The sequence below is a fragment of the Homo sapiens genome, chromosome 16 (genome assembly GCF_000001405.40).
Source record: "Homo sapiens chromosome 16, GRCh38.p14 Primary Assembly".
In the NCBI taxonomy this organism is placed as follows: domain Eukaryota; kingdom Metazoa; phylum Chordata; class Mammalia; order Primates; family Hominidae; genus Homo; species Homo sapiens.
Window position 1 is genome coordinate 72,447,695 of NC_000016.10, and position 27,173 is coordinate 72,474,867.

General features: G+C 36.0%; 2 long non-coding RNA genes across 4 annotated transcripts in view, besides 1 other annotated feature; one reads left to right on the plus strand and one right to left on the minus strand.

Annotated features, from left to right (window-relative positions):
- LINC01572 (long intergenic non-protein coding RNA 1572) overlaps nt 1–27,173 on the minus strand; it is a 384,069-nt gene that overhangs the window by 166,793 nt on the left and 190,103 nt on the right. The window lies entirely within an intron of this gene.
- The window catches only part of LOC124903718 (uncharacterized), a 109,513-nt gene that overhangs the window by 21,749 nt on the left and 60,591 nt on the right, over nt 1–27,173 (plus strand). The window lies entirely within an intron of this gene.
- Nucleotides 11,904–12,073: an enhancer, noted in NCBI's record as "experimental_44118 CRE fragment used in MPRA reporter constructs". NCBI's record gives its function as "activates a minimal promoter by MPRAs in K562 erythroleukemia cells, with activity observed for the introgressed 16:72493582 variant allele {active_cell/tissue: K562}" and the evidence as "EXISTENCE:reporter gene assay evidence [ECO:0000049][PMID:34662402]".

The following is a 27,173-nucleotide window of genomic DNA, read 5'->3' on the forward strand; positions in this document are numbered from 1 at the left end:
CCTCCTTTTCACATTTTTGGAGGAGTTTGAGCAGGACTGGCGTTACTTCTTCTTTAAATACTTGGTAGAATTCACCAGTGAAACCATCTTGTCCCGAGATACTCTTTGTTGAAAGGTTTTGGATTCCTTAGTCAATCCCATTACTTGCTATTGGTCTATTCAAATTTCCTATTTTGTCAAAGCTCAGCCTTGTTAATTTGTATGCTTCTACAAATTTATCCATTTCTTCTAGGTTATCCAATTTGTTAGCATATACTTTTCACAGAAGATTCTTATGATCCTTCGTATTCCTGTGATATCACCTGTAATGTCTCTTCTCTCATTTATAATTTTATTCATTTGATTCTTTTCTCATTTTTCCTTAAAGATTTTCATTATCATTTTCATTATCTTTTCAAAAAACAACTCTTTGTTTTGTTGATTTTTTTCTATGGTTTTTCTAGCCTGTTTCATTTATTTCTTCTAGATGTTTATTCCTTTCTTCCTTCTGCTAACTTTGGGCTTATTTCGTTCTTCTTCTTCTAGTTCCTTGAGACATAAAGTTAGGCTGTTTATTTGTGATCTCTCTTTTTTTCTTAAAGTAGGCATTTACTGCTATAAACTTCTTTGTTAGAACTTCTGTGGCTGCATTGCATAAGTTTTGGTATGTTGATTTTCCATTTTTGTTTCTCTCAAGATACTTTTTGATTTCCCTTTTGATTTCTTCTTTGTGACTCTTAGTTGTGAATATTTACTTTTTTGATTTTTGATTTTAATTTTTGTGCATACATAGTCGCATATGTATTTACAGGGTACATGAGATGTTTTGACACAGGCATGCAATGTGTAATAATCATATCATGTAAAATTGGATATCCCCTCAAACATTTACATTTGTGTTACAAACAATCCAATTATCTTTTAGTTATGTTAAAATGTACAATAACATTATTTTTGACTATAGACACCCTATTGTGCTGTCAAATACTAGGTCTTGTTCACATTCTTTCCTTTTTTTCTTTTGACCCATTAACCATCCTCACCTTCCACTTATACTCCAACTACCCTTCCCAGCCTCTAGTAACCATCCTTTTACTCTCTATCTCCATTAGTTCTATTGTTTTGACTTTCAGATCCCACAAATAAGTAAGAACATGTGATATTTGTCTTTCTATGCCTGGCTTATTGCACTTAGCATGATGACCTCCAGTTCCATCCACGTTGTTGAAAATGACAGGATCTCATTCCTTTTATGGCTGAATAGTACTCCATTGTGTATATGTACCACATTTTTTTATCCATTCATCCGTTGATGGACACTTAACTTGCTTCCAAATTTTAGCTATTGTGAACAATGCAGTAACAAACATAGGAGTGCAGATATCTCTCTGATATACTGATTTCCTTTCTTTTGTGTATATACCTAGGAGCAGGATTGCTGGATCATATGGTAGCTCTATTTTTAGTTTTTTCAGGAACCTCCAAATTATTCTCCCTACTGGTTGCACTAACTTACAGTTTCATCAACATGTATGAGGGTACTCTTTTCTCCACAACCTTGCCGGCATTTGTTATTGCCTGTCTTTTGGATATTAGCCATTTTAACAGAGGTGAGATGAAATCTCTTTGCAGTTGTGATTTGTATTTCTCTGATGATCAATGATGCTGAGCACCTTCGTATGTCTTCTTCTGACCATTTAAAAACTGGATTATTAGATATTTTTCTTATAGAGTTGTTTGAGCTCCTTACATACTCTGGCTATTAATTCCTTGTCAGGTGGGTAGTTTGCAAATATTTTCTCCCAGTCTGTGGGTTTTTCTACACTTTGTTGACTATATCCATTGCTGTATAGAAGCTTTTTAACTTGATATGATTCCATTCGTCAATTTTTGCTTTGGTTGTCTGTGCTTGTGGGCTATTACTCAAGAAAGGAATTTTTGCCCAGACTAATGTCCTGGAGATTTTCCCCAATGTTTTCTTGTAGTAGTTTCGTATTTGAGGTCTTATATTTAATTCTTTAATCCATTTGCTTGATTTTTGTATATATATAGAGAGACAGGGGTCCAGTTTCATTCTTCTGCATATGGACATCCAGTCTTCCCAGCACCATTTATTGAAGAGACTGTCTTTTCCACAGTGTACATTCTTGGTACCCTTCTCAAAAATGAGTTAACTCTAAGTATGTGGATTTGTTTATGGGTTCTATACTCTGTTCCATTAGTCTGTGTGTCTGTTTTTATGCCTGTACCATGTTGTTTTTGTTACTACAGCTCTACAGTACAATTTACAGTCAGGTAAAGTAATTTGGCCAGTTCTGTTCTTTTTGCATAAGATAGCTTTGGGTATTCCGGGTCTTTTGTAATTCCATATTAGTTTTAGGACTGTTTTTTCTATTTCTGTGAAGAATGTCACAGAATGCAGTCTACATATTGCATAGAATCTGTAGATTGCATTGGGTAGCATGGACATTTTAACAATATTGATTCTTCCAATTCATGAACATGAAATATCTTTCCATTTTTTGAGGTCTTCTTCAATCTCTTTTATCAGTGTTTCCTAATTCTGATTATAGAGATCTTTCACATCTTTGATCAAGTTGATTCCTACGTATTTCACTTTATTTGTGGCTGTTGTAAATGGGATTACTTTTTGCATTTCTTTCTCAGATTGTTCAGTCAGCATACAGGAATGATACTGATTTTTGTATGTTGATTTTACATCTTGCAACTTTACTAAATTTGTTTATCAGTTCTAACAGTTTTGATGGCGTCTCTGGATTTTTCCAAATATAAGATCATATATCTGCAAACAAGGATAATTTGACTTATCTTCCTGTTTGGATGCCCTTTATTTCTTTCTGTTGTCTGATTGCTCTAGCTAGGACCTCCAGTACTATATTGAACAATAACAGTGAAAAAGAGTGTCCTTGTGGTGATCCAAATCTTAGAGGAAGGGCTTTCAGTTTGTTCCCATTCAGTATGATATTGGCTTGAGGTCAGCCATATATGGCTTTCATTCTCTTGAGGTATGTTCTTTCTATACTTAGTTTTTGAGGGTTTTTATCATGAAGGGATATTGAATTCTGTCACATGCTTTTTTGCATCAATTGAAATGATCCTATGGTTTTTGCCCTTCATTATGTTAATATGACCTATCATATTGATTGATTTGCACATTTTGAACCATCCTTGCATCCCAGGGATAAATCTCGCTTGGTCATGATGAATGATCTTTTTATTGTATTGTTGAATTTGGTTTGCTAGTATTTTGTTGAGGATATTTGTATCAATATTGATCAGAGATATTGGCCCGTAGTTTTTTTTTTTTAATGTGTCTTTAGTTTTGGTATTAGGATGATATTGGCCATGTAGAATGAGTTTGGAAGTATTGCCTCCTCCTTTATTTTTCAAAATAGTTTGAGCAGGATTGGTATTAGTTCTTCTTTAAATGTTTGGTAGAATTCAGCAGTGAAGCCATAGGATCCTGGGCTTTTCTCTACTGGGAGACTTTTTATTAAGGCTTCAATCTCATTACTCATTATTGGTCTGTTAAAGTTTTGGATTTCTTCAAGGTTCAATCTTGGCAGGTTGTATGTGTCAAGAAATTTATCCATTTCTTCTAACATTTCAAATTTATTGGTATGTAGTTGCTCATAGTAGCCACTAATGATTCATTATCCATTTCTTCTAAATTTTCCAATTTATTTGTATATAGTTGCTCATAGTAGCCACTAATGATCCTTTGAATTTCTGTGGTATCAGTTTTAATGTCTCCTTTTGCATCTCTGATTTTATTTATTTGGGTCTTCTCTCTTTTTTTCTTAGTTAATCTGGCTAAAGGTTTGCCTATTTTGTTTAACTTCTCAAAAAACCAACTTTTTGTTTCATTGATCTTTTGTGTTGTTTTCTTCATTTCAATTTCTGCTCTGATCTTTATTATTTATTTTCTTCTATCAATTTTGGATTTGGTTCGCTCTTGCTTTTCCAGTTCTTTAAGATGTATCATTAGGCTGTTCATTTCAAGTTTTTCGTCTTTTTTGATGTAAGCACTAAGAGCTATAAACTTCCCTCTTAGTACAGTTTTTTGCTGTATACCATAGGTTTCGAAATGTTGTATTTCCATTATTGTTTGTTTCAATAAATTTTTCAATTTCCTTCTTAATTTCCTCACTGATCCACTGGTCATTCAGGAGCATACTATTTAATTTTCATTTGTTTGCATAGTTTCCAAAATTCTTCTTGTTGTTGATCTCTGGTTTTATTCCACTGTGGTCAGAGAAGGTGCTTGATATTATTTCAATATTTTTTGAATATTGTTTTATGAGTTAACATACGGTTTATCCTTGAGAATGATCCATGTGTTGAGGAAAAAAATGTATATTCTGCAGCCATTAGATGAGACGTTCTGTAAATATCTATTAGGTCCATTTGGTCTATAGAGCAGATTAAGTCCAATGTTTCTTTGTTGATTTTCTGTCTGGAAGATCTGTCCAATGCTGAATGCAGGGTGTTGAAGTCTTTAACTATGATTGCACTGAGGCCTATATCTCGCTTTAGCTCTAATAGTATTTAGTATATATATCTGGGTGCTCCAGTGTTTGGTGCACATATATTAACAATTGTTATATTCTCTTGCTGTATTGACCCCTTTATCATTATATAGTGACCTATTTGTCTCTTCTTACAGTTTTTGTCTTGAAATCTATTTTGCCTGATATATAAGTATAGCTACTCTTGCTCTTTTTTGGTTTCCCATGGCATGGAATATCTTTTTTCATTCCTTTATTTTCAGTCTATGTGTGTCTTTATAGTTGAAGTGTGTTTCTTGTGGGCAACAGATCACTAGGTCTTTTTTAAAAAAATCCATTTAGCCACTCTATGTCTTTTGATTGGAGGGTTTAGTCTATTTACATTCAATGCTATTATTGATAAGTAAGAACTTTCTCCTGCCATTTTGTTATTTTTGTGGTCGTTTTGTGGTCCTCTCGTTTCTTTCTTTCCTTCCTGTTTTCCTTTTAGTGAAGATGATTTTCTTTCATGATATAATTTAGTTTCTTACTTTTTATTTTTTTGTGTATCTGTTGTATGTTTTTTGGTTTGAGGTCACCATGAAGCTTGCAAATACTATTTTGCAACCCATTATTTTAAGCTGAACACAACTGAACACTGTTTGCATACACAACAAAGAAACAAGCAAAAAGAAAATAAGCATTCTGCACTTTAACTTAGTCCCCCCACTTTTTAACTTTGTGTTGCTTCTATTTATTAATGTATCTTATTGAACTGTGTCTTCAAAAGTTGTAGTTATTATTTCTGATTGGTTCATCATTTAGTCTTTCTGCTTAAGAGTGGTTCATACATCATAGTTACAGTTTTACGATATTCTGGGTTTTTCTTTGTACTTACTATTACCAGTGAGTTTTGTACCTTTAGATGATTTCTTATTGCTCATTAACATCCTTTTCTTTTTGATTGAAGTACTCCCTTTAGCATTTCTTGCAGGACAGTTCTGGTGTTTATGAAGTCCCTCAGCTATTGTTTGTCTGGGAAAGTCTTTATTTCTTTTTCATGTTTGAAGGGTATTTTCACCAGATATACTATTCTAAGGTAAATTTTTTTTCCTTTCAGCAAATATGTCATGTCAATCACCCCCAACCTCTAAGATTTCCACTGAAAAGTGTGCTGCCAGATGTACTGGAGCTCCATTGTATGTTATCTGTTTCTTCTCTCTTGTTCCTTTTAGGATCCTTTATCCCTGACCTTTGGGAATTTCATTACTAAATGCTTTGAGGTAGTAATCTTTGGGTTAAATCTGCTTGATGTTCTACAACCTTCTTGTATTTGGATATTGATATCTTTCTCTAGGTTTGGGAAGTTCTATTATCCCTTTGAATAAAACTTTTACCCCTCTTTCTCTACCTCCTCTTTAAGGCCAATAACTCTTACATTTGCCTTTGGAGGCTATTTTCAAGATCCTGTAGGCATGCTTCATTGTTTTTTATTCTTTTTTCTTTTATCTCCTCTGAGTGTTTTTTTTTTTTTCTTTTTGAGATGGAGTCTTGCTCTGTCGCCCAGGCTGGAGTGCAATGGCGCAATCTCGGCTCACTGCAAGCTCCACCTCCCAGGTTCATGCCATTCTCCTGCCTCAGCCTCCTGACTAGCTGGGACTACAGGTGCCCACCACGATGCCCGGCTAACTTTTTGTATTTTTAGTAGAGATGGGGTTTCACCATATTAACCAGGTTGGTCTCGATCTCCTGACTTCGTGATCCGCCTGCCTCGGCCTCCCAAAGTGCTAGGATTACAGGCGTGAGCCACCACACCCAGCTCTCTGAGTATATTTTTATATAGTCCGTCTTCAAGCTCACTCATTCTTTCTTCTGCTTGATCAATTCTGCAATCAAAGGACTCTGATGTATTCTTCAGTACGCCAATAGCATTTTCCAGGTCCAGAATTTCTGCTTCTTTTTATTTCAATCTCTTAGTTAAATCTGTGTGATAGAATTCTGAGTTCCTTCTCTGTGTTATATTGAATTTCTTTGAGTTTTCTCAAAACAGCTATTCTGAATTCTTTGTCTAAAAGGTCATAAATCTCTGTTTCTCCAAGAATAGTCCATGGTGCCTTATTTAGTTCATTTGGTGAGGTCATATTTTCCAGATGGTCTCGATACTTGCAGATGTTCGTCTGTATTTGGGCATTGAACACTTAGGTATTTACTGCTGTCTTCTCAGTCTGGACACATTTGTACCCATCCATCTTGGGAAGGCTTTCTCAATATTTGAAAGGACTTGGATGTTATTATCAAAGCTTAGTCTGCTTTAGAGGGCACTCCAAGACCAGTAATGCTGTGGTTCTTGGACACTCATAGAGATACTGCCTTGATGGCCCTGAACAAGATCAGGGAGAATTCTCCGGATTACAAGGGAGAGACTCTAGTTCTCTTCTCTTACTTTCTCTGAAACAAACAGAGTCTCTCTCTGTGTCTGTTTTGGGCCACCTAGAGCTGGGGGTGGAGTGACATTAGCACCCCTGTGGCCACCATGACCCTGTGACTATGCTGGGTCACACTGGAAGCCAACACAGCACTGGGTCTCACCCACGGCCTTCTGTAACCACCCCCTGGCTACTCCCTATGTTCACTCAAGACTCTGAGGCTCTGCAATCAGCAGATGGCAAAGCTAGCCAGGCCTGTGTCCTTCCCTTCAGAGTAGTGAGTTTTCCCAGGACCCAGGCAGGTCCACAGCTGCCATCCTGAAACCAAAACTAGAATAAAAAACCTTCAAAGTCTACCTAGTGTGCTACTGTACTATAGCTGAGTTGGCACTCAAACCACAAGACACAGTCTTTCCCATTCTTCCTTTCTCTTTCCCAAGGCCTCATCCCATAGCCACTGCCATCACAGGCCCATGGGGTATACTGCCAGACTACTGCTGATGTTCCCTAAGGCCCAAAGGCTCTTCACCAAGCTTGGGGTGAATGCTGCCTGGTCTGAAACTGACCTTTAAGTGCAGTAGGCTCCTCTCTGGCCCTGGGTAGGTCCGGAAATACCATTCAAGATCCAAGTCCTGGAATCAGAGACTCCAAGAGCCTGCTTGGTGCTCTACCTACCTGTGGCTGAGCTGGTACCTAAGGTCCAAGACAAAGTCCCATTCACTTTTCCTTCTGCTTTTCTCAAGCAGAGGAGTCTTGTCCCATAGCCACCACAGCTGGAAGTGTGCTGAGTCTCACATGAAGTCAGCAGGTCTCAGAGTCTCACCCAAGGCCCTCAATGTAGTAGCTTGTTATTGCTGCTGGTTATTTAGGGCCCAAGGGCTCTTCAATTAGCAGGTAAGGAATCCTGCCAGGACTGGGTCCTTCACTGCAAGGTAGCAGGTTCCCTTCTGACCCAGGGTGTGTCTAGAAATGTTGTTCAGGAGCTAGGGCCTGGAAAAAGGGCCTCATGACTCTGACTGGTGCCCTATACTGTTGTGGCTGAGCTAGTATCCAAGATGCAAGACAAAGTCCTCCCCACTCTTTGCTCTCCTTTCCTCAAGTGGAGGGAAGGGGTCTCTTTAGGAGTTGTAAGCTGTGTAGCCTGGGATTAGGGAAGGGATGATGTCTGTCCTCCCTTAGCTGCTCAGGCTGGTGTCTCAGTAGGCTGCATACCCCACTAGTCCGCTGGCTCTGGGCCCAGTTCAGCACTAGGACTTGCCTAAAAGTTTGCAGTCCTTGTGGCCTAGACTGCCTTTCAACTTTATTTAGAGTCCCAGAGTGCTTTGGCCCACAATGGTGAGACTTGCAGGAACTCAAGTTCAGACTGCTGGGATCAGTCAATCCCTCCTGGCTAGGGCTGGTTTAAATGCTCACTCTGTAGGTGGGCATCAGCTGAATTTGGTTGTTTTTTTTTGTTTTGTTTCCTTGCTATAACAGGGCAACACTGAGTTCAGTGCCTCACAACTGCTGTGCTGCTCTTCCTCTTCCCAGAGCAAAGAAACACCTTGGCACCATGCCAACACTGTCAGGAAGGTAGAGAGGTGGCGTCAGCAATTCAATCACCCAGCAATTCAGGGTGATCAGTGGAGCCTTTTGTTCTGCCATATTGCTCCACCTAAAGGAGTGTGTTATTTAATTTGTGAATTTTCCTCCTGTTTCTAGTTTCATACCTTTGTGGTCAGAAGATATTTGATACCATTTCAAGCTTCTTAAATGTGTTAAGACTTGGTTTGTGGCCTACACATAATCTATTTTGGAAAATGGTCCTTGTGCCCTTGAGAAGAATGTGTATTCTACTGCTGTTGGATGGAATGTTTTGTATATGTTTGTTAGGTCCATTTGTTCAAGTCTGACATTTCCTTATTGATTTTCTGTCTGGATGATCTATCCATTGTTGAAAGCAGAGTATCAAAGTCCCCTACTATTATGTTGTTGTCTATTTCTCCCTTCAATTCTGTTAATATTTGCTTTGTATTTTCTTGATGAATTGATCCCTTTATGATTACATAGAAATATTCTTTATTTCTGTGACAGATAGCCACTCCTGCTCTCTTTTGGTTACTTTCTGAATGGAATATCTTTTTCTATCCCTTGACTTTCAGCCCATGTGTCTTCTTAATTCTAAAGTGAGTTTCTTGCAGGTAGCCTACAGTCAAATCACATTTTTTTAATTCATTGGGTTACTCTGTTTTTTGATTGGGGAATTTAATCCATTTACATTTAAATTAATTATTGATAGGTCAGAACTTACTGTTGCCATTTGAATAAAACTGATTATTTTATAGTTCTTTGGTTTCTTTCTTCCTCTCGCTTTTTTTTTTTTAAGTGGTATGCTTTTATTCCTTTTTGTCTTGTATGTATTTATTATGAGTTTGGCTTTGTGAGTATCATGAAGCTTATATAAAGCATCTTATAGTTATAACAGTCTATTTTAAATGATAGCAGCTTAATTTTGGTCACATACAAAAACTTTATACTTTTACTCACCCTGCCAACATTTTCTGCTATTGATATCACAATTTACATCTTTTTATACTGTGTATCAATTAAATTTTTGTAGCTGGCTATTTTTATACATTTGTATTTTTAACCTTCATCCTAAAAGTGATTTACATACCACCATTACAGTATTAGACTATTCTAATTTGACTACGTATTTACCTTTATTTCTGAGTTTTATAGCTTCATATATTTTCCTGATGCTAATAAGCATCCTTTCATTTCAACCTGAACAACTTCCCTTAGCATTTCTTATAAGGCAGGTCTAGCGGTGATAAACTCCCTCAGCTTTCGTTTGCCTGTGAAAATCTTTCTCTCTCCCTTATTTCTGAAGGACAGCTTTGTCAGGTATGCTATTCTTGGTTAGCAGCTATTTTCTTTCATCACTTTGAATATATCATTCCACTCTTTCCTGGCCTGTAAAGTCTCTGCTGAGAAATCTGCTGATAGTCTTATAATGAGTCCTTTGCATGTGACAAAAACCCCTTCTGTTTTCAAAATTATCTTCATCTTTGACTTTTGATAATTTGATTTTAATGTGTCTCAGTGATGACCTCATTATGCTCAAGTTATTTGGAGTTTTTTGGGCTTCATGGAAGTGCATGCTCATTTCTCTTTCCAGATTTGGGAAGTTATCTTTCATCATATCTTTAAATAAACTTTCTTCCTCTTTCTCTTTCTGAGCTACTTCTGGGACTCTCATAATGCATACTTTGGTTCACTTGATGGTGTCCCATCATCCCGTATGCTTTCTTCATCCTTTTCATTCTTTTATGTTTTTGTTCTTCTCCCTAGATAATTTCAAAAGCCCGTAATTCTTTAGTGGTAATATACTTCCTTGAATCTTGATGTTCCTTGAAGCCTTCACGTTTGAAGAAACAGCCAACTCTTCCTGTCTTTATTGATCACCATGAAGAGAGAAAGACCTGCACCAGTGAGCCTGGTTAGAGATGCTGAAGGTTTCTCAGACCTTTACTATGAATGCATTTGCTCCACTCCTCTTGTTTCCTCTTATGGGGAAATCTTAATACTGTCTGCCTTCTCTTCATCCTACAAAGCTGGGACTGGTGCCAAAAGCCTCTCATTTATTTTCCCTAGAGCTGCGCCCTGAAGTGTTTAAGGTTGTGTGCTTTCTCACAAACCAGTAGATCAGGCTTTTAAGATACATATTGGCTACTGAGATCCATGCACTGTCTGAGGGAGCTTGCACAGGCCATGCACCAGGGACTCATGGGGTACCATCCATGGCGGTGGTGGTGAATGGGGTCCTAAGGGTGCACAACAGCTTGTTGGGAATGTATATGGGTAAATTGTATTGCAGGATTTGTGGGTGGATCACTTGATGGAGTCCATGAACCAGTTAACTATATCTGTGGCTGGCTGTTGAAAACTGCATGCCAGTTGCTGTGAGTGTTCACTTCTTCTCCCTACTCCTAGCTACCACTGGATTATTCAGCCATGCAGATCCCCTTGGTGTTCTGGGAGGGGAAAGATGACGTGAGACTCTCAGGCAGCATCCCACAAGGCTGGGTAACTCAGGCTCTCACTTTGCTCTCCCTTTCCCTCCTGAGAGAAATTGTGGGCCTCTTTTGGCACAAAGATGTGGTACTTTAAGGAGGGGTGACATTAGTGAAGTGAAATTGCTCTTCTTACTCTTTTCAATGTTTCCACTCTCAGATTTTTTGCTCCACCAGTGTGCTGGAAACTCTCAGCTATATTTTGTGGCTCCCACAAAGGTATTCTCATCTGTGGGTGGTTACACCAACTGGTGTTTCCTTGAGGGGAATGAGAGCTAGATTCTCCTGTTCTGCCATCTTGCTGATGTCACACTCCCTAGATGCTTTCTTTGTAGAGGAAAACTCTGAGGCTTCTTTGTAAGAAAGAATAACTTAACCATTCTTGGTGTGTAAGTTCCCTCATTCCTCCAATTCTCATCAATACAGAAAAACAGCTAACTGCATCTCAAAACCAGGCAGTGTCAGTATAATAAAAATAAATTATACTGAAAATAAAGCAAACACTTAGTTCATATTGTAATTGAACATAACTAGAAACAATGTTTGGTTAATGGTTGACAATAACTTTATCTTTCAAATAGAAGTAAAGGTATCCACATATTAAGGCAAATCACTCTATAAAATAACAAAAGCCACAGTTCCCTGAAATTTTCTCTTCCAAACTTTTCCAAAGATGGGAGGTACTGAGGAAATATATTGTGTATATTAGGTATGAATAAGTGCATATGTGGTTATAATGCTTTTTTTTTTTTTTTTTTTGAGACGGAGTCTCGCTCTGTCACTCAGGCTGGAGTGCAGTGGCGTGATCTTGGCTCACTGCAAGCTCTGCCTCCTGGGTTCACGCCATTCTCCTGCCTCAGCCTCCCGAGTAGCTGGGACTACAGGCACCCGCTACCATGCCTGGCTAATTTTTTTTGTATTTTTAGTAGAGACGGGTTTCACTGTGTTAGCCACGATGGTCTCAATCTCCTGATCTTATGATCCATCCACCTTGGCCTCCCAAAGTGCTGGGATTACAGGCGTGAGCCACTGCGCCCGGCCTATAATGCTATTGTAAATGCATTATCTACCAGATCAACTCATTGATTAGAGAAAGTTAAAATGTAAAAATTTGAAGCTAACTTCTATCTGAATTAAAGCTACATGCTCAAAAGACAATGAATGTCAGAAATAAAACTGAGAGAAATATTAACTAATAAAGGCAAATTCAACTTTTAGAGGTCAAAAAATAATCCATTATGTTAATGTGTGACTTTCTCAGGGAGTTGCTAAGTGTTCCCTGCAGAGTTTGACTTACTGTGTCAGAGCAGCAAAAGTTTTAACTAAAAAACAAAATCCTGGCACCATTGGAAAAACATACCATATGAGAATGAATTCACAAAGTAACTATGATTCACTCATGCTTGATGTGCTATGTTCAGATCAGAGATTTTAAACATTAAATAAAGGTCACTACAATCAAAGAGGTCAGGGAATGGGGAGACAAACTCAAAACAATTAAGATGTCTCAGTCTGGAAAGCTGAGAATAAAGGAGATTTTTTATAGAATGAAAACTGATTTACCAAATCCTAAAATTAGGAGCACCTTTTGTTTTTTGTTTTGTTTTGTTTGTCTGTTTTTAGAGACAGGGTCTTGCTCTGTCACCCAGGCTGGAGGGCAGTGGCACAATCATAGCTCACTGCAGCCTGAAATTCCTAGGCTCATGTAATCTTCCCACCTCAGAATCCCGAGTAGCTAGGACTACAGACATGCACCACCACACTCAGCTAGTTTGTTTCAATTCTAGGGGGCAGACGGGGTCTCACTACATTACCTAGGCTAGTCTCAAACTCTTGACCTCAAGTGATCCTCCTACCTTGGCCTCCCAAAGTGCTGGAATTATAGACATGAACCACCACACCCAGCCAGGGGCATCTTTTGAAGCTTGAAAGTGGTAAACACAGAACAAATATGATGAAATAAAACAAGACAGAACATTACTTGACATAACAAAGTAAAGTTTCAGAAATTGCTATTTCCCAGCCTGGGCAACATAGTGAGACACTGTCTTAAAAAAAAACTAATTAATGAGATACTAGCTGAGCACAGTGGCACACACATGTATTCCTGCTGAATGAGAGGCTAAGGCATGAGAATCGCTTGAATCCAGGAGTGCAAGACTAGCCTTGGCAACACAGCAAGATCCTGCCTTTAAAAAGAAAGAAAGAAATCATTGCTTCAAGAGAAAAAAATAATCAGGATTAAAAACTATCAAAATAAATAAATGTATGCTAAATTCATCATATGTTATTAAAGGGAAACTAGGATGTTTTCTTGACCCATAACATTGAGCACCAAAACCCCTCTCAATGGGAGTCAGAATACTAGGATATTTTCAGTAGAGCAATCGTATATTATTATAAATGTTACTTGGAGTCTTCCTTAAGTTTCAGTGGAGAAAAGTAAGTATATTAAGACACTTTAATAGATGTAAAATTTAACAAGGTTTTAAATCTAACAGCTTTAAAGAAAAAACCCAACTCTGAAATTGGGGGTTATTATTTTGTAACTCAAACAGTAAAAACCATGATGTTAACATCTTTACCTACAGTCTTATAGGTAACAAATCTACTGCAGAAAACAACAGCTGAAAGTTGTTGCTATTTTGCACTATTCTGAAGGAATATACTAAGACTCAGTTTATGTATTTCTGCACTTCCAAACCACAAGGGCAACTAATATTCATCTGTGTGGAGTCTCAACAAATAAACCCAAAATGAGTAACAGGATTGAAAACCAGTTCTTTTATTTTTTTTTTTTCAATCTTGGCTTAGATTTAAAGTGCTATTATGAAAGAAGATGTTAAGTTAATGAAGACAGTAAACTAGTAGGTTTGAGAACCAATTTCTTGTGTCTTCAGAGTTTTCAACTCAATATGACACAGATAAATTCACTTCAGTGCAAATAAAAAGCACAGACTAAAACTGTAATTCTAGGAGCTGTATTAGGAACCTAAAAGCCAATTGTTAACAACTGGATAAGTCAAATATCCATAGATAACTGAAGACGATAGATTTTTCTTCTTTGGTTTTTATTTGTTTTCTCCATTTTGCCCTTTAAGGTAAGCCTGTACCTGCTTATTTGTCCTTAGGAAAAAACCAGATATCAGGATAAAGCTATTGTTTCTGAAGAATGACTGCCAATGTCAGGTTTCTCTCTGTAAACTGAAACAGAAGGAGCTATCTTATTCCCAATAGGGTCTCAGAAAAAGATACAGGTTTAAGGTTGATAATTCCCATGTACACATGGTAAGAAGGGACAAGATCTGCTTTATAGAGTTAATCCTCAAAAAAAGATACGGATTCTTAGGCCCTGTTGGTAAACAATAGGTTCCATGGGGTGAGTGCATCAGCCAAAATGGCATATGTGTAAAGTGAGCACCAGCATGTGATAACTGTTTGTGGATGATGGTGTAATAAAATTTTTTGATTGTGTGACCATTTATTTTAAAATAAATCAGATCTGTAAATATAAACAAATAAAGAAATAATATCTGACACAGAGAATTTCAAAGACTATCCTAATTACTGATAGATGATGTACAATAAGACAAGCATAATTTAACGAAGTTAATACAAATGACAGCAACAGCAAAAATGTTGCTTTCTTTTGTTTTTTGTTTTTGAGACGGAGTCTTGCTCTGTCGCCCAGGCTGGAGTGCAGTGGCGCGAACTCCACTCACTGCAAGCTGCGCCTCCCGGGTTCAAGCCACTCTCCTGCCTCAGCCTCCCGAGTAGTTGGGACTACAGGCGCCTGCCACCACACCCGGCTAATTTTTTTGTATTTTTAGTAGAGACGGGGTTTCACCGTGTTAGCCAGGATGGTCTAGATCTCCTGACCTCATGATCCGCCCGCCTCAGCCTCCCAAAGTGCTGGGATTACAGGCGTGAGCCACCGCACCCGGCCTGTTGCTTTCTAATCTATAAAACAATTATATATAATTTAATGATTTCTAAGGTTTCTTGGCTATCTAAAGATCCAGAACATTGCCATTATTTTACGAAGTCAGATGACTTTCTCTTTCTTATTTGACAATATTTATTATGTTCCAGCCAGCTTTGTGAGCATAGGTTATTCAACTGAGAGAAAAACTAGATATAGATCCTATAGTTTATAGACATTAATCAAGAAACTATATATTATCAAAAATTGTGTGTTATAAAAACACACGGAGCTCTGAATGCACAGAAGGGGACTGATTCAGTTTGGTGGGGAAGGAATGAGAGTATGGGAAGATTTCCATGAGGAACTCAATTTTAAGCTGAGATCTGAAGGATGAGTAGGGATTACCTAGGAAAGGGAGGAATGGGATGAAAATGGTATTTGTAGGTAGAAGGAAAGGCTTGTCCAAAGATCCAAGTTAATAGGTATGCAGCTGAAATAGTAGGGGGAAGAATGTGATGTAATGAAGTTGGAGCATCAGACAAAGTTCAGATCATGCTTAGCTTAGAATGCCATATTAAAGATGGCAGTCTTCATTTTAGGGAAATAGGAAGCCTTTGAAAAGTTTCACCAACAGGAGACAAATGACCAGATTTCTAAAACATCACCTTGGTTGTGATATGGAGAAATAATTGTCAGAGGTAAGAACGGATGTTGAAAAAACAGGAAGTTTTTGTGGTAGGCCAGGTGAAACATCATGGTAATTTGCCCTGGGACAGTGCGGTGGATAATGACATAAGTGGCTGAATTCAAAAGATATTTGTAAGGTAAAATGGACATTAGGTGATGAAGTAGACATGGGGAGGGAATTACCAAAAATAATTCTAATGTCTCTGCAATTAGTGAAGTCATTTACAAAAAGTAAGGAATGGGGACAAAAGAACAGATTTTTTTCTTTATTTTTAAAGTAGGGGGTGGTTTGAAGATCATGAGTTCATATTTGGACATGTTAATTTTGAGCTATGTTTAGAGATGTCAAGTAGAACAGAATAAGAACAAGGAATGCAAATTAAAAGAATCACAGGCATATAATTGAAACCTGAGTATAAATGAGATCTCCCAAGGGAGAGAGTATTCTATAATTGTTTTAAAAAATGTAAGAACACATTATTTTAAGGCCTTTTGGAAAAAAGAACATATTTACTGTATCAAATTCTCACAAGCCTTCCAATGTCAAATAATAATCAGCATTTTAATGTATTATCTTAATTGAACATCACAATCATTTTATGGGATAGGTACTATCATTATTCTCATGGTGCATATAAAGAGGCTAAAGCTTTGGGAAGTAATTTACCTTATTCAGAAGCCAGAGTTCAAACCTAGGGCTGAGCTCTTAACTATTGTACTGGGCTGCTTTCTTAGTACTTCTTATATTAAACCAGAAACAGTAACAACTTTAACAGTCAAAGTCTTGTAAAGACTTGTGTGCAGAGTGCAACACTGCATATTTAAAGTAATTATGTAGGAAGAGAGTATGGCAGCTTTAATTTGATAGAACTATGGGAGAACAAAGATTTTAGGAACATAAAATAAGTCTGGTTTACACAAATGACAGAAATCTCCTGCTCAGTTACCTTAAATTGCTTCATATCATAAAACCATAAAAAATATCATCATCAGCAATATGGCATCCAACAGTAACTCTGTTTAGGAACTGGTTTCAGTTTTGACTCACAGAAAGTAGTATTTCCCAGAAAGTTATCATGTCAAAAGACTTAGTTTTTCTTGGGCTATATGAAAATCTAACTCAGTTTACGTATTACCCAATAAGGATCATAGCCATAGAGGGAGTTGAAAGTTTACTAAGTGATAAGAATTTGAAAATCAAGAGGATCTAGGAAAGGCTTGTAAGTAGATAGCTTTGGGTATTATTATCAAATCAAGAAACCTTATTTTATGCTTATACTTTAAAAAAAATGCTTGTGCCTTTATGTTTGTAAGTATTGATATATTGGGGTCCCCAGAAAGTATAAGAATAAAGTCAAATTAGGCAAATACATAAGCTTTAACTGAGTTTAAATTTCAAAATGAAAGTTACTGTCTTAGTCTGCTTAGATTTGCTATAAAGAAATACCTAAGGCTGGGTAATTTACAAGGAAAAGAGGTTTATTTGGCACACAGTTCTGCAGGCTGTACAAGAGGCTTGGCACCAGCATCTACTTCTGGTAAGGGCTTCAGGCTGCTTCCCCTCATGTCAGAAGTTAAAGAGGAGCTGGCATGCACAGAGATCACATGACGAGAGAGGAAGCAGAGAAAGCAAGCGGAGTTGGGGTTTGCACCAGGCTATTTTTAACAACCAGCTCTCATGAGAACTAATAGAATGAGAACTCACTTACCCCCTCACCCCCAGGGAGAGGATTATTCTATTCATGAAGGATATGCCCCCATGACCCAAACACCTCCCTTTAAGCCTCGTCTCCAACATTAGAAATCAAATTTCAACATGAGATTTGAAGGGGTCAAACAAACCAAACTATACAGTAATGAAGAGAGCAAGTGTTTGCATTACTAGCATAAGGAGTGCTTTGGAACTGAGTGGAATGTGGACACAATGTCTCTTAAGAGCAGGGATGCTGGTTCTCTGCGTAGGTATAAAATTTTACTCTGGCATGAACACACAAAAAGGCGATCTTTCTTCCTTTATACATGTGTAACTCTTAATGATGACCAGAACAAATACTAGCATTGTCACTTTACTAAATTGCAGTGTAGGTATTTACAGTCTACACTTGCATGCAATTTCAGCTTCTGAATATAACATTAGTGATTCTAATTTTATTTTATTTGCAGCTGAAATGACTTGTGTGCAATATACATGATTGGTGACCTTACTAGAATGTCCTAAAACATGCTGTGCCAGAGATAAGTTTAGTTGCCACAAGGCAACTGAAGTTGAATTTTTAGGTCATAATATGCCTGAAAAAAAGGGTTGTATCATCTTTAGTGTTAAAGATATTTAAGGCATTTTATTATTATGAGCCATATACCCATCTGAACAACAAAGATGCCTTGAGTGTTCAAGTCAATCCATAGTTTGGAAGGCCTTGGATAAGGTTCTTTAAGCTTTTCTGTGCCCAGCCCCTGCAGACTGATTAAGCCATATGCAGATTATCTTTCTCCATAAGCATTTATTTCATGAACTTAAGGAAAAAGCCAAAGTGAAAATTAAGGTTTATATCAGGGCCAAGACTGGGATGAGGTAAGAGAAACGCCTATGGTGTAAAATTTAAGGAGGCTCTCAATCCCAGGGTCATGTAAGTGCTAGGTTGACACCAGAAAGTGGGTACCTCCTTAAATTTTGCTATATAAGCACCTTCCTAGCCTCACCCTAGTCCTGGCCTTGGATTTTATTGTCAAAGGTCTTTCAGAGTCAAGGCTGTGCTATTTCAGATGCACATCTTTTTGTTGTTGTTGCTCAAAAGCTAACAAAAATCAAGTACATAATTTTTAAACTTTATATCAAAAAAGTACTGTAAAAAAATGAAATACGTAGAGGAGCAATATTAATAGAGATCTCAGCTAAATCTGAATAACAACTAATAGCATACCTGTTGGTACTATTTGCTGTGTGCAATTATATATATATTTATATATAAACACACAGACACACACATACACGCACACATATAAAATCTCCTTCAGTCCTCAACTCTGAGTTAAAGTATAATTATCATTATTATTCCCATTTATACAGGTAGGGAAATTAAGGCTTATAGATGTCAAATAAAAAATTGCTCACTGTCGCATAGCGAGTAGGAACTCAAGCTGATCTAACTCAAAACCCTAATCTCTAACTGCTATGCTTTGCTGCCTTCTAAATATTATCATTCAATATTGGTGATCTGTTGATTGTATCTCTACTATAGGCAGGCATGTACATGCTAATTGCTTATGTAAATTTAGCATTTTTCTTGTCAGAAAAACTGGTTAATAAGCCTTAGAGTACTCTCATTTTTGCAGCCTTATAGCATGGTGGACTAAGAAAGGGAAAATGAATGTAAGAAAAAGAAAAGAAAGAAGGAAAAAACAAAAGATTGCAAGAGAAAATGCATGATTTAGAGATCATATCCCTTTTGTGAACCAGGATAAAATAATAAGCATGAGGATGAGATTAGTATATGCAAAGAAGCTTCTTTAAAGCAAACCCAAAAGAAAAAGGAGGTCTCATTTATAGTGGAGCAAAAGAAAGAAAAAAAGGTTTATTAGAGGACAAAAAATGTTACTTTGGTTTTAATTTCAGCTTTTTCAAATTAAAAAAAATTAAAATAGACTTCTTTTTTCAGAAACAAAGTATCAGAACTTGTTACTTTTTCTATCTGCTGTAGAAAATACTGATATAAACCAAAACATAGGGTGAACAACGTTACAGTACTTAATTTTAAAAACAAGTTAAAGTAATAAGTGTTATTCAATTCATATAGCAAGAAGAAACACTTATGTAGAAGTAACTAAGATTATTAATGTCTAAGAAATACATGTTTCACGAACAATTTTAAGAATATGTTTTAAGAGACATAGTATTATTGGCCATGATTGTGATGTTCCAGTTTTTTTGGGAAGAGTAGATACTATAAAAGGTTAAATGCCATTTTTTCACCCCGTACCTGCCCGAACCTCTGAGCTCCTCAAACCCTTACCTCCATCACTAAGCCAAGCTCTGATACCAGTAAGAAAGTCCCTATCTTGCAACCTGCTAAAGAGTGCCCTCTTGTGTTGCATGCACATGAAATAACCTTTTTTTTTTCTTTTTTCATGAAGTGTTCTGCTTACACTGAACCTTAGGTTTTCTTTGGCATTGCAGCCAAGAAAGATAAAAGATAAATGATGCTTTAGAACAATTTTCTGGCTTTTAATGCCAGCTAAGTAAAACTATACCCCTATATTAAAGAGTTATAGGTTTTCTTTAAAAAACTTTTATAAAATAAGGTATATCCACTTCAAAAAATAATGTGCCTTTTGTTCAAAGGCTAGTTTTTAAAGAAAACAGTTTGCATAAAATGTTAGTACACTGCTAACGTTAGAATGTACTAAGAATTTTAGTACTTAGAAAAACAGGAATTTGTTCTATCAGAAAAAAATAGCAGTGACAATAATTTGCTTCTCTCAACCTCTGGAAACTTACCTAATTTCTCAGAAGTGTATTTGTGCTGAAATTTTTATTTCTGGTGACAGTCAAGATTTTGTTCATGCTTAATAAAATCCAAAAGGGAGAACATAAGAAAAATAAATTACTTGACCATAAAGTGAGTATATCTTTAAATTCCAGGGGAAAAAATGAGATATTTCAAAAGATAGCGTTACATAACATCAATATATTCCTCTAAACAGTTTTGACACAAGCACAAAGAAATTTAAAGGAATGAAGGAAATCAGTGTTTTCATTGTCTAATACACACCAAGAAATTCGAACTGTGAGACTGGTAACTCCATAAATTACCACTCTATCCTGGACATACTTTTTTCTCTTTTAAAAGAACTTATTTACATAATGAATTACAGACATAGCATGAGAAAGATTATGAAAAGCTAAATATTAAAAAAGGACTAAAAAGCATGTTAATGAATGCAAGTGTGTGATATGTCCATATATGTATATATGTTTATGTATTTCTATCACTTTGTTTAATAATTAAAGTGAATATCAGTCAAACACTTGGCTCAGAAACATGGGCAAAAATAAGATCCCTGAAATTGTCTTCCGGTAAATAAGGAGTAAAAACACTGAAGAAAGGATTAGAATTGACGAACCCACTAGATTTGCTTAACATTTTCTTCTTTTAGTTTGTTTTTAAGGTGGGGGAATGTTATTCTGCATTGTGCACATTAAATAAGGTTAACTGTGTGCAACACAGGAAAGATTAAACAAATCTGTTAAAAAATACCAACCCAAAATATAAGAGGTACAAAGAAAAAGTAGCACATATCTTAATGTTTCCAGAGTGGGGCAATGTTTAGAAATAAAATATTCTTGAAACATGTCTCTTCAGGTACTTGTATTATCTAAATCCCTTGAATGGTGTCTAAATAGAACTTAGCAAATCCAAGACAAAAACAGAGAAATGGGTATAACAAGGCCACATACTTAGAGTAAAAAAAAAAAAACAACTCTAGGTTCTATATCTACCCCTGACTCATCATTGACCTTGAAAAAGTCAGTGTTCTCCACTGCTCCTCTATCAAGCAGGAGCAATAACTCTTGCCAGAAACCACATAGGAGTGTTGATAATGGGAGGATTGGTGTGATAATGCACAGAGCTTATAGAAATTTTACTGTGCTGTGTACACTTTTGGGAAAGATCATGTGTTTTTTTGCTACCCCACAAAAGCTTAAAGAAGATAATGGATGTATAAAACATTATGTTAAATTCTGCTTAACATCTTCATTTTCATTTATCTTGATAGTTTCTTCAATCTACTGTTTTTTATAACCTCTTATGTGTTAATATTTTTATGTCTGGGAATTTCTAATTCCCTTTCTATCTCATTCTTTCTCTTTATTTGCTTTCTTTTCAGTTTTCTATTTCTAAAAAAACAAGAATTTATTCTTGTCTTGAATTTCTCCCTTCCCTCATTCTATATATATGCACAAATACTATTTTTTCTTCTACTACTTATCTCTGTTGTTCAAGTATAATAAAAGCAATCATAACAATGATACTAACACTTAATATATTTGAAAGTGCTTTGTAAACAAACGCTAATCTTATTTCAGGTATTTATTCAAGTTACTCTTAATCAGAAAAATTGTTGATAGTTTATATATCTTATTTATGACGCCCTCAAAAGGTAAAATTTTAATAGTAGTAACATTTTCAATAGTAGTAAAATTTTCATCGTGTCACTATGGAAGAAGAAATAACTACTGGATGTAATAAACCAACAATAAACTTTATTATAGTTTTCAATAGATTTCTTAGTAAATAAAAATAGAAAAAACTATTTTCTAAATTTCTTTATCTCAATTTATAGAATAAGATATATTTTATATAACCACAGGGGAGAAAAATAGAAATGTTTCACATTTCTATTTTGAACTCTATTGCTTTTCAGTGGATAACAGTGGAAATCACTTAATATATATGAAATATGGAAACGACTACCTCTCATTGTGCTCTTGGAATGATTAATTGTGCTTTTACATTAGAACAAAAGCTGTGTGAACATATGGTATTATTACTTTAATACAGGTAATTCATTGTAGTATGAAACAGCTATATATAGACCAAATAATAATCACTTCCATTACACAGGATAAAATAAAACTGCCACTGAAAAAAATGGAGAAATGCCTCTTTCTGCCTTTAATTAGTTTTTAATAAATGATACATAGTAAATGGCAACATTCTAACTTATCACAATTTAGGCACAGTCCTTTAATGGGAGGTTAAGGGGGGTATGGAAGTGTATGAACTCTGGTATCTGTTTGCATTGCCTGGGAAACCTTCTCTGTTAAAGGGCATTCATTGTTTTCAACATCTGAAAAGACGCAAGCTCTCATAAAGTCCTTTCAGGTATGCGTGACAAATGGGAAGTAGTCCTTCTATAGCACAAAGTTCCAACTACAGATAAATAGTCTATCTGTTCTTGGTTCACATCTCTATGAACATCCATTTCATTTACTGTTGGCTTTAAATCACACACTCTTCTAGGGAGATTAATACCTAGAGTATGTCACAGCCCTTTTTACTTCATAAATGTGAGAAATACACTTAGATTAATTGTTTTGATTTTTTTTTCAAAGCTGCTTTTTGGTTCCCTGACATTAAATTCTATAAACCAGTCCTCCATATATATTTTTTCATGGTATATTTCAATAGACTAGAAGACCTTCTGGTGTTTAAGTTTGTTTCTAAGGATCCAGATGGGATTTATTTTTCATATATGGTTTCTGCTTACATGCAACATTGTATTTTAATGTTTTTTAGTCTTCAACTAGAAAGGATAAAGGGATAAATGATCACCACGAACCGTTAATAAGTATCTAACCGTGGTATTCTACTTACTGTAGGGGGAATATTTATGCTCTTCTTGCTGTCATCTAGACCTACCTGAGAAGTAAAGCAAGTGAGAAGGCAGACTTTATCACTTGATACAACTGTCAAAATGGTGTCAAATGTTCACTGAATGCACTCCTCCCTCCATGCTTGCATTAGCCCTTTCCGTTGCTGTAACATCATACTGCCTGCATGCATGCACTTCTGCATGTAAAGACAGGAACTTTTATGCCTAGCATTGTCTTGGAATAAAAGAGCCTGGAAGGAAAACCATTGTTTCCTTTTAAAGGGGATAGAAAAAACATACTTGGGCTACAAAAAACTATTTCCATATGCCCACAGCTAACTTACTGTAAAGAAAATCTTGGGTAGATTTTCCATGGAGAAATCTTTTTTCCTTCCATTGGATTACCCCATGAGTGTCCCTGTCCTCCAACAGTATGGTTTTCCTATCTGAAAATGTTGAGTAAATTTCTGCTATGACTAGTAGATTCAGGAGATTAAATTTACTTAATCGTCAGTACAAATATACCTCTTCTTATGTGCTCTTTATGAAAATAAACACATGAACAAAAACTGAGTTGATCTTCCTAAAATGGACACATTCATACAAAGCTAAATCATCTTCTATCACATACTGAAGGCAAATGATCGCATACTTAGAAAAACAGAGGTGTATCTTGATGTAGTGTGTATACTTAGTATTATGCCTGACACTTCTTCACACTGCTCTTCATGTGTTCACAAGCATATAAATGTGCAACTCCATTTCTATAAAGTCAAATTCATCTAACGTTACATAGTCTGGTTGATATTTCTATATCTTTTCCTCCTTTAAATGTGACTAGCTATTTACGCCATAACAATTCTGGTGTAGCGCTGATTTAGCATTTTTATTGGAATGTGAAAGCTCTTAAAAGAAGAAAAAAAATCTAATCAGGCAGAAGAGATAGAAAACTTGCTGAATTTTCCTTCCCCCTTCCAAGACCCCCCTGAATCCTATCAAAAGCACATCTTCCATTCATTGCTTCCCGGTGTCATTATGACAAGCGGCTACAAATCAATAGCAGAGGGAAAGGCAGGACCAACCCGCACTCACCAAGTGATAAAGATTCACTCTCAGCCCCGATTTGCTAATAGCCCATAATAGCAGCCATTGGCGCCCCGCATTAAATAATACATTTCACTCCGCGTTTATTATGGGATTTTTAAAACTCCTCACCAAATTGGATTTTCTCGATGGTCTCTAATTTCCACATTTATCATTTAAAATTAAACTGCTCTGTGGAAAGGGGGGATAGAGAAGAAGAAGGTAGAGAGAGGCCAGACAGTACTGTATTTTTCCTTTTGACTCCCCCCTTTATGAAAACCCATAAATAATATCAGGTATCACAGCTATAAGCAGCAGGATTTTTTAAATATTAAAATTTCTAGAAATCAGGATGGAATAGTCTGTATGTGCTGGTCTGTGAATGAAGATGACAATTCAACAGGACAAAATATATATCCATAAATGAAGTTTTAAGCAAAATAAATTTGGTTTAAAAATGCTCAGTAATGTTGCAATGAGGGTGAATGATAAGACCGATGGAAAATATGTGAATGTTACAATATGCAAATACTCCAAGGAGCTATAAAGAGAGTTCAGCCAGTAAGGTATTCTAGCTTTAAAAAACAATATTTTTCTTATTCCAAAGCTCAGTGACAAACAGATGAAAAGTAAAAATTCTCTTATTGTCTTCTCATTACATAATAGCTTACTTTACTCTCTATACTTTCTTGGTTTAAAAATTAATTGTAAAATTTCATAGAGTCCTATAGCCACAGGACTCACTTCTTGGCAGCTATGGCAAATCCCAAATAAGTTCTTAAATCTCCCATAGATGCCACCGAAACAGCGGAATCAACCCATGGAAACATAAATCACTTCAAGTTTAAGTATATATCCTTTTAGATAATTTTTTTTGTCCTTTGGGTATAAAAATTAAAATTAAATTTCAGTTCTATAGCATAATACGAAAAGGCTATATTTTCTCAAGGCTGCACAGTTGAGACTCACTATGGCTAACTTATAACTACAGCACTGGCAGGATCCAAAGACATCAGAAGAAAACTAATCAGTACATATGTAGAGATGCTTGAAAAGGCTAAAGGTTTAGTGAAATGTCAAATGATCCTCTGATTTCTTCCTTTTGGGAACTTCCTCAGCAATATAGTCTTACCTATATCATTTCCCTTAAGAAACAGAAATGATCTTTCAAATCAGAGAGTTTAAAGGAGTTGAAAAGCTCAGCCATTTTATAACAATATTTCATTTAATCTTCATTCTTTTGTTTTGGAATTTTGTTATTGACCTAATTATTTTTAAACGTTTCAATGATCCTTTAAAAAAAATCTGCCATTAGTTGCTGTGCCTTTTCTGTCTTTTTTTTTTTTTTCAGGTAGAAAAGTACTGTTGTACATATACCTATTCTTTCCTTTCCTACTCCATATAACTAATAGCCTCCCATTTTAATGAAGTCTTTATTCAAGTAACATACATATTGAAAAGTGCACAAATAAAAAATGTATGCTATGAATTCTCACTAGCTGCACACACTTGTGTAACCAGCATTGAGACCAAGCAGCAGAATGTTTTATTAGTTACCCAGAAGCTCCCCTTTGCTCCTTTTTAGTCACTACCAACTCCCTCAAGGGTAGTCTCTGTCTTGCTTCTAGCATCTCAGATAATTCTGCCTACTTCTGAACTTTGTATAAATAGAATGCTCTAGTATGTACTCTTTTGTGTCTAGCTTCTTTCACTTAAAATTATATGACATGAATTCACAGTGATGTATGTAGTTATAGTTTGTCCATTCTCATTGCTGTAGAGCAGGGACTGACAAACTAAGATCAGATCTGGCCCACTGCCTGTTTTTGTATGGCCTGTGAGCCAAAGATTTTTATATTTTAAAAAAATATATAAAAATCAAAAGAAAGATATTTCATTACATGTGAAAATTATATGAAACTCTGGGTACATAATAGGTGCTCAGTAAATATCGGCTTTATATAGGTAATCTAAAGAGTTAATTTTAAATATATTCAAGAAGCAGCTTTACTTTGTTTTCATATCAAAAGTCCTTTTCAATTTGCCCTATCAACATCTCCCTTCTCTTCAACCCTGAAGACTGTGGTTTGTAAAACTATTTAGCTCACATTCACTCTTCTGTTCCTTGTCTACTGTGTTATGTTCTGTACCTTACTCCTGAAACAAAACAAGTCTTCTGCTCTTTAAATTTATTTCTAAAAGCTTACTTCTATTAGAAAGTCTGTATCTAAGCTAACTTCATTAGATTTAAGTAGATAAAAGCTGGAACTGAAGAAATGAAGAAAGGGGATATGTTAAAACTGATGCATTGTCAGGATTTTCCCAGTTTTCTCTTTTTGGCTAATTTAGAATTCACAGAGTAACAGCTTATATCTGTTCAATTAAAGGGTCAGTTAAAGAGCTGGCACCTCAAAAATGTTTATCAGTCTGTGTTACGTAATTAAATATGGAATCTATTCAGACAAACGTTAAAAATCAGTCCAGGGGAAAGGAAGAATTTTAATAAATTTTGAAATACAAATCCTAAACAGTTCTTTTTGAGGATGTGATACTTTATGTCATCACAAGAGACTGGAGAGATTAGAATGAACTGGTTTAAAGTCTTAAAATCTAAGCCTGGAGGCTTTCTTTAATCTGCATGCAAGACTGTTTAACACTGTTGCAACTGCAATTAAGTACTAGACTGTTTTTGTTTATTTCTTTACAAAACTGCTTTGTTAGTTTGTAAAATATTCAGACACAGTCAAGGTTATGGGTTCTCTCAGGATGTCTATGTAAAAGGAGATACAATGGGATAGGGAAGCTTTAATTATGGCTGGGTCCTTGCTCTCTGAGTGCCAGCTTTAGACAATCACTCTTTCTGTGGACTCTACGTAGTGGCTTTTTTTTCTTTTAGCTGTTTAAGAATCTGAAGCATCCTGTGGTTTATTGACTATTGTAACCACATACTCTGCCACTAATGTTCATCACTCCTGTTTCTCCTGACTGCTGCCTCTTGAGGAGAATGAAAGGTGGAAAATGTGACACAGTAGTCTCAAATTGTATGACTCAGTTTAAATACCGAACAAGAAAAAAAGTGTCTTAAACCACCACTAGAAACATTTTCCTTTCAAATGGAACTGATCTTTAAAACCCA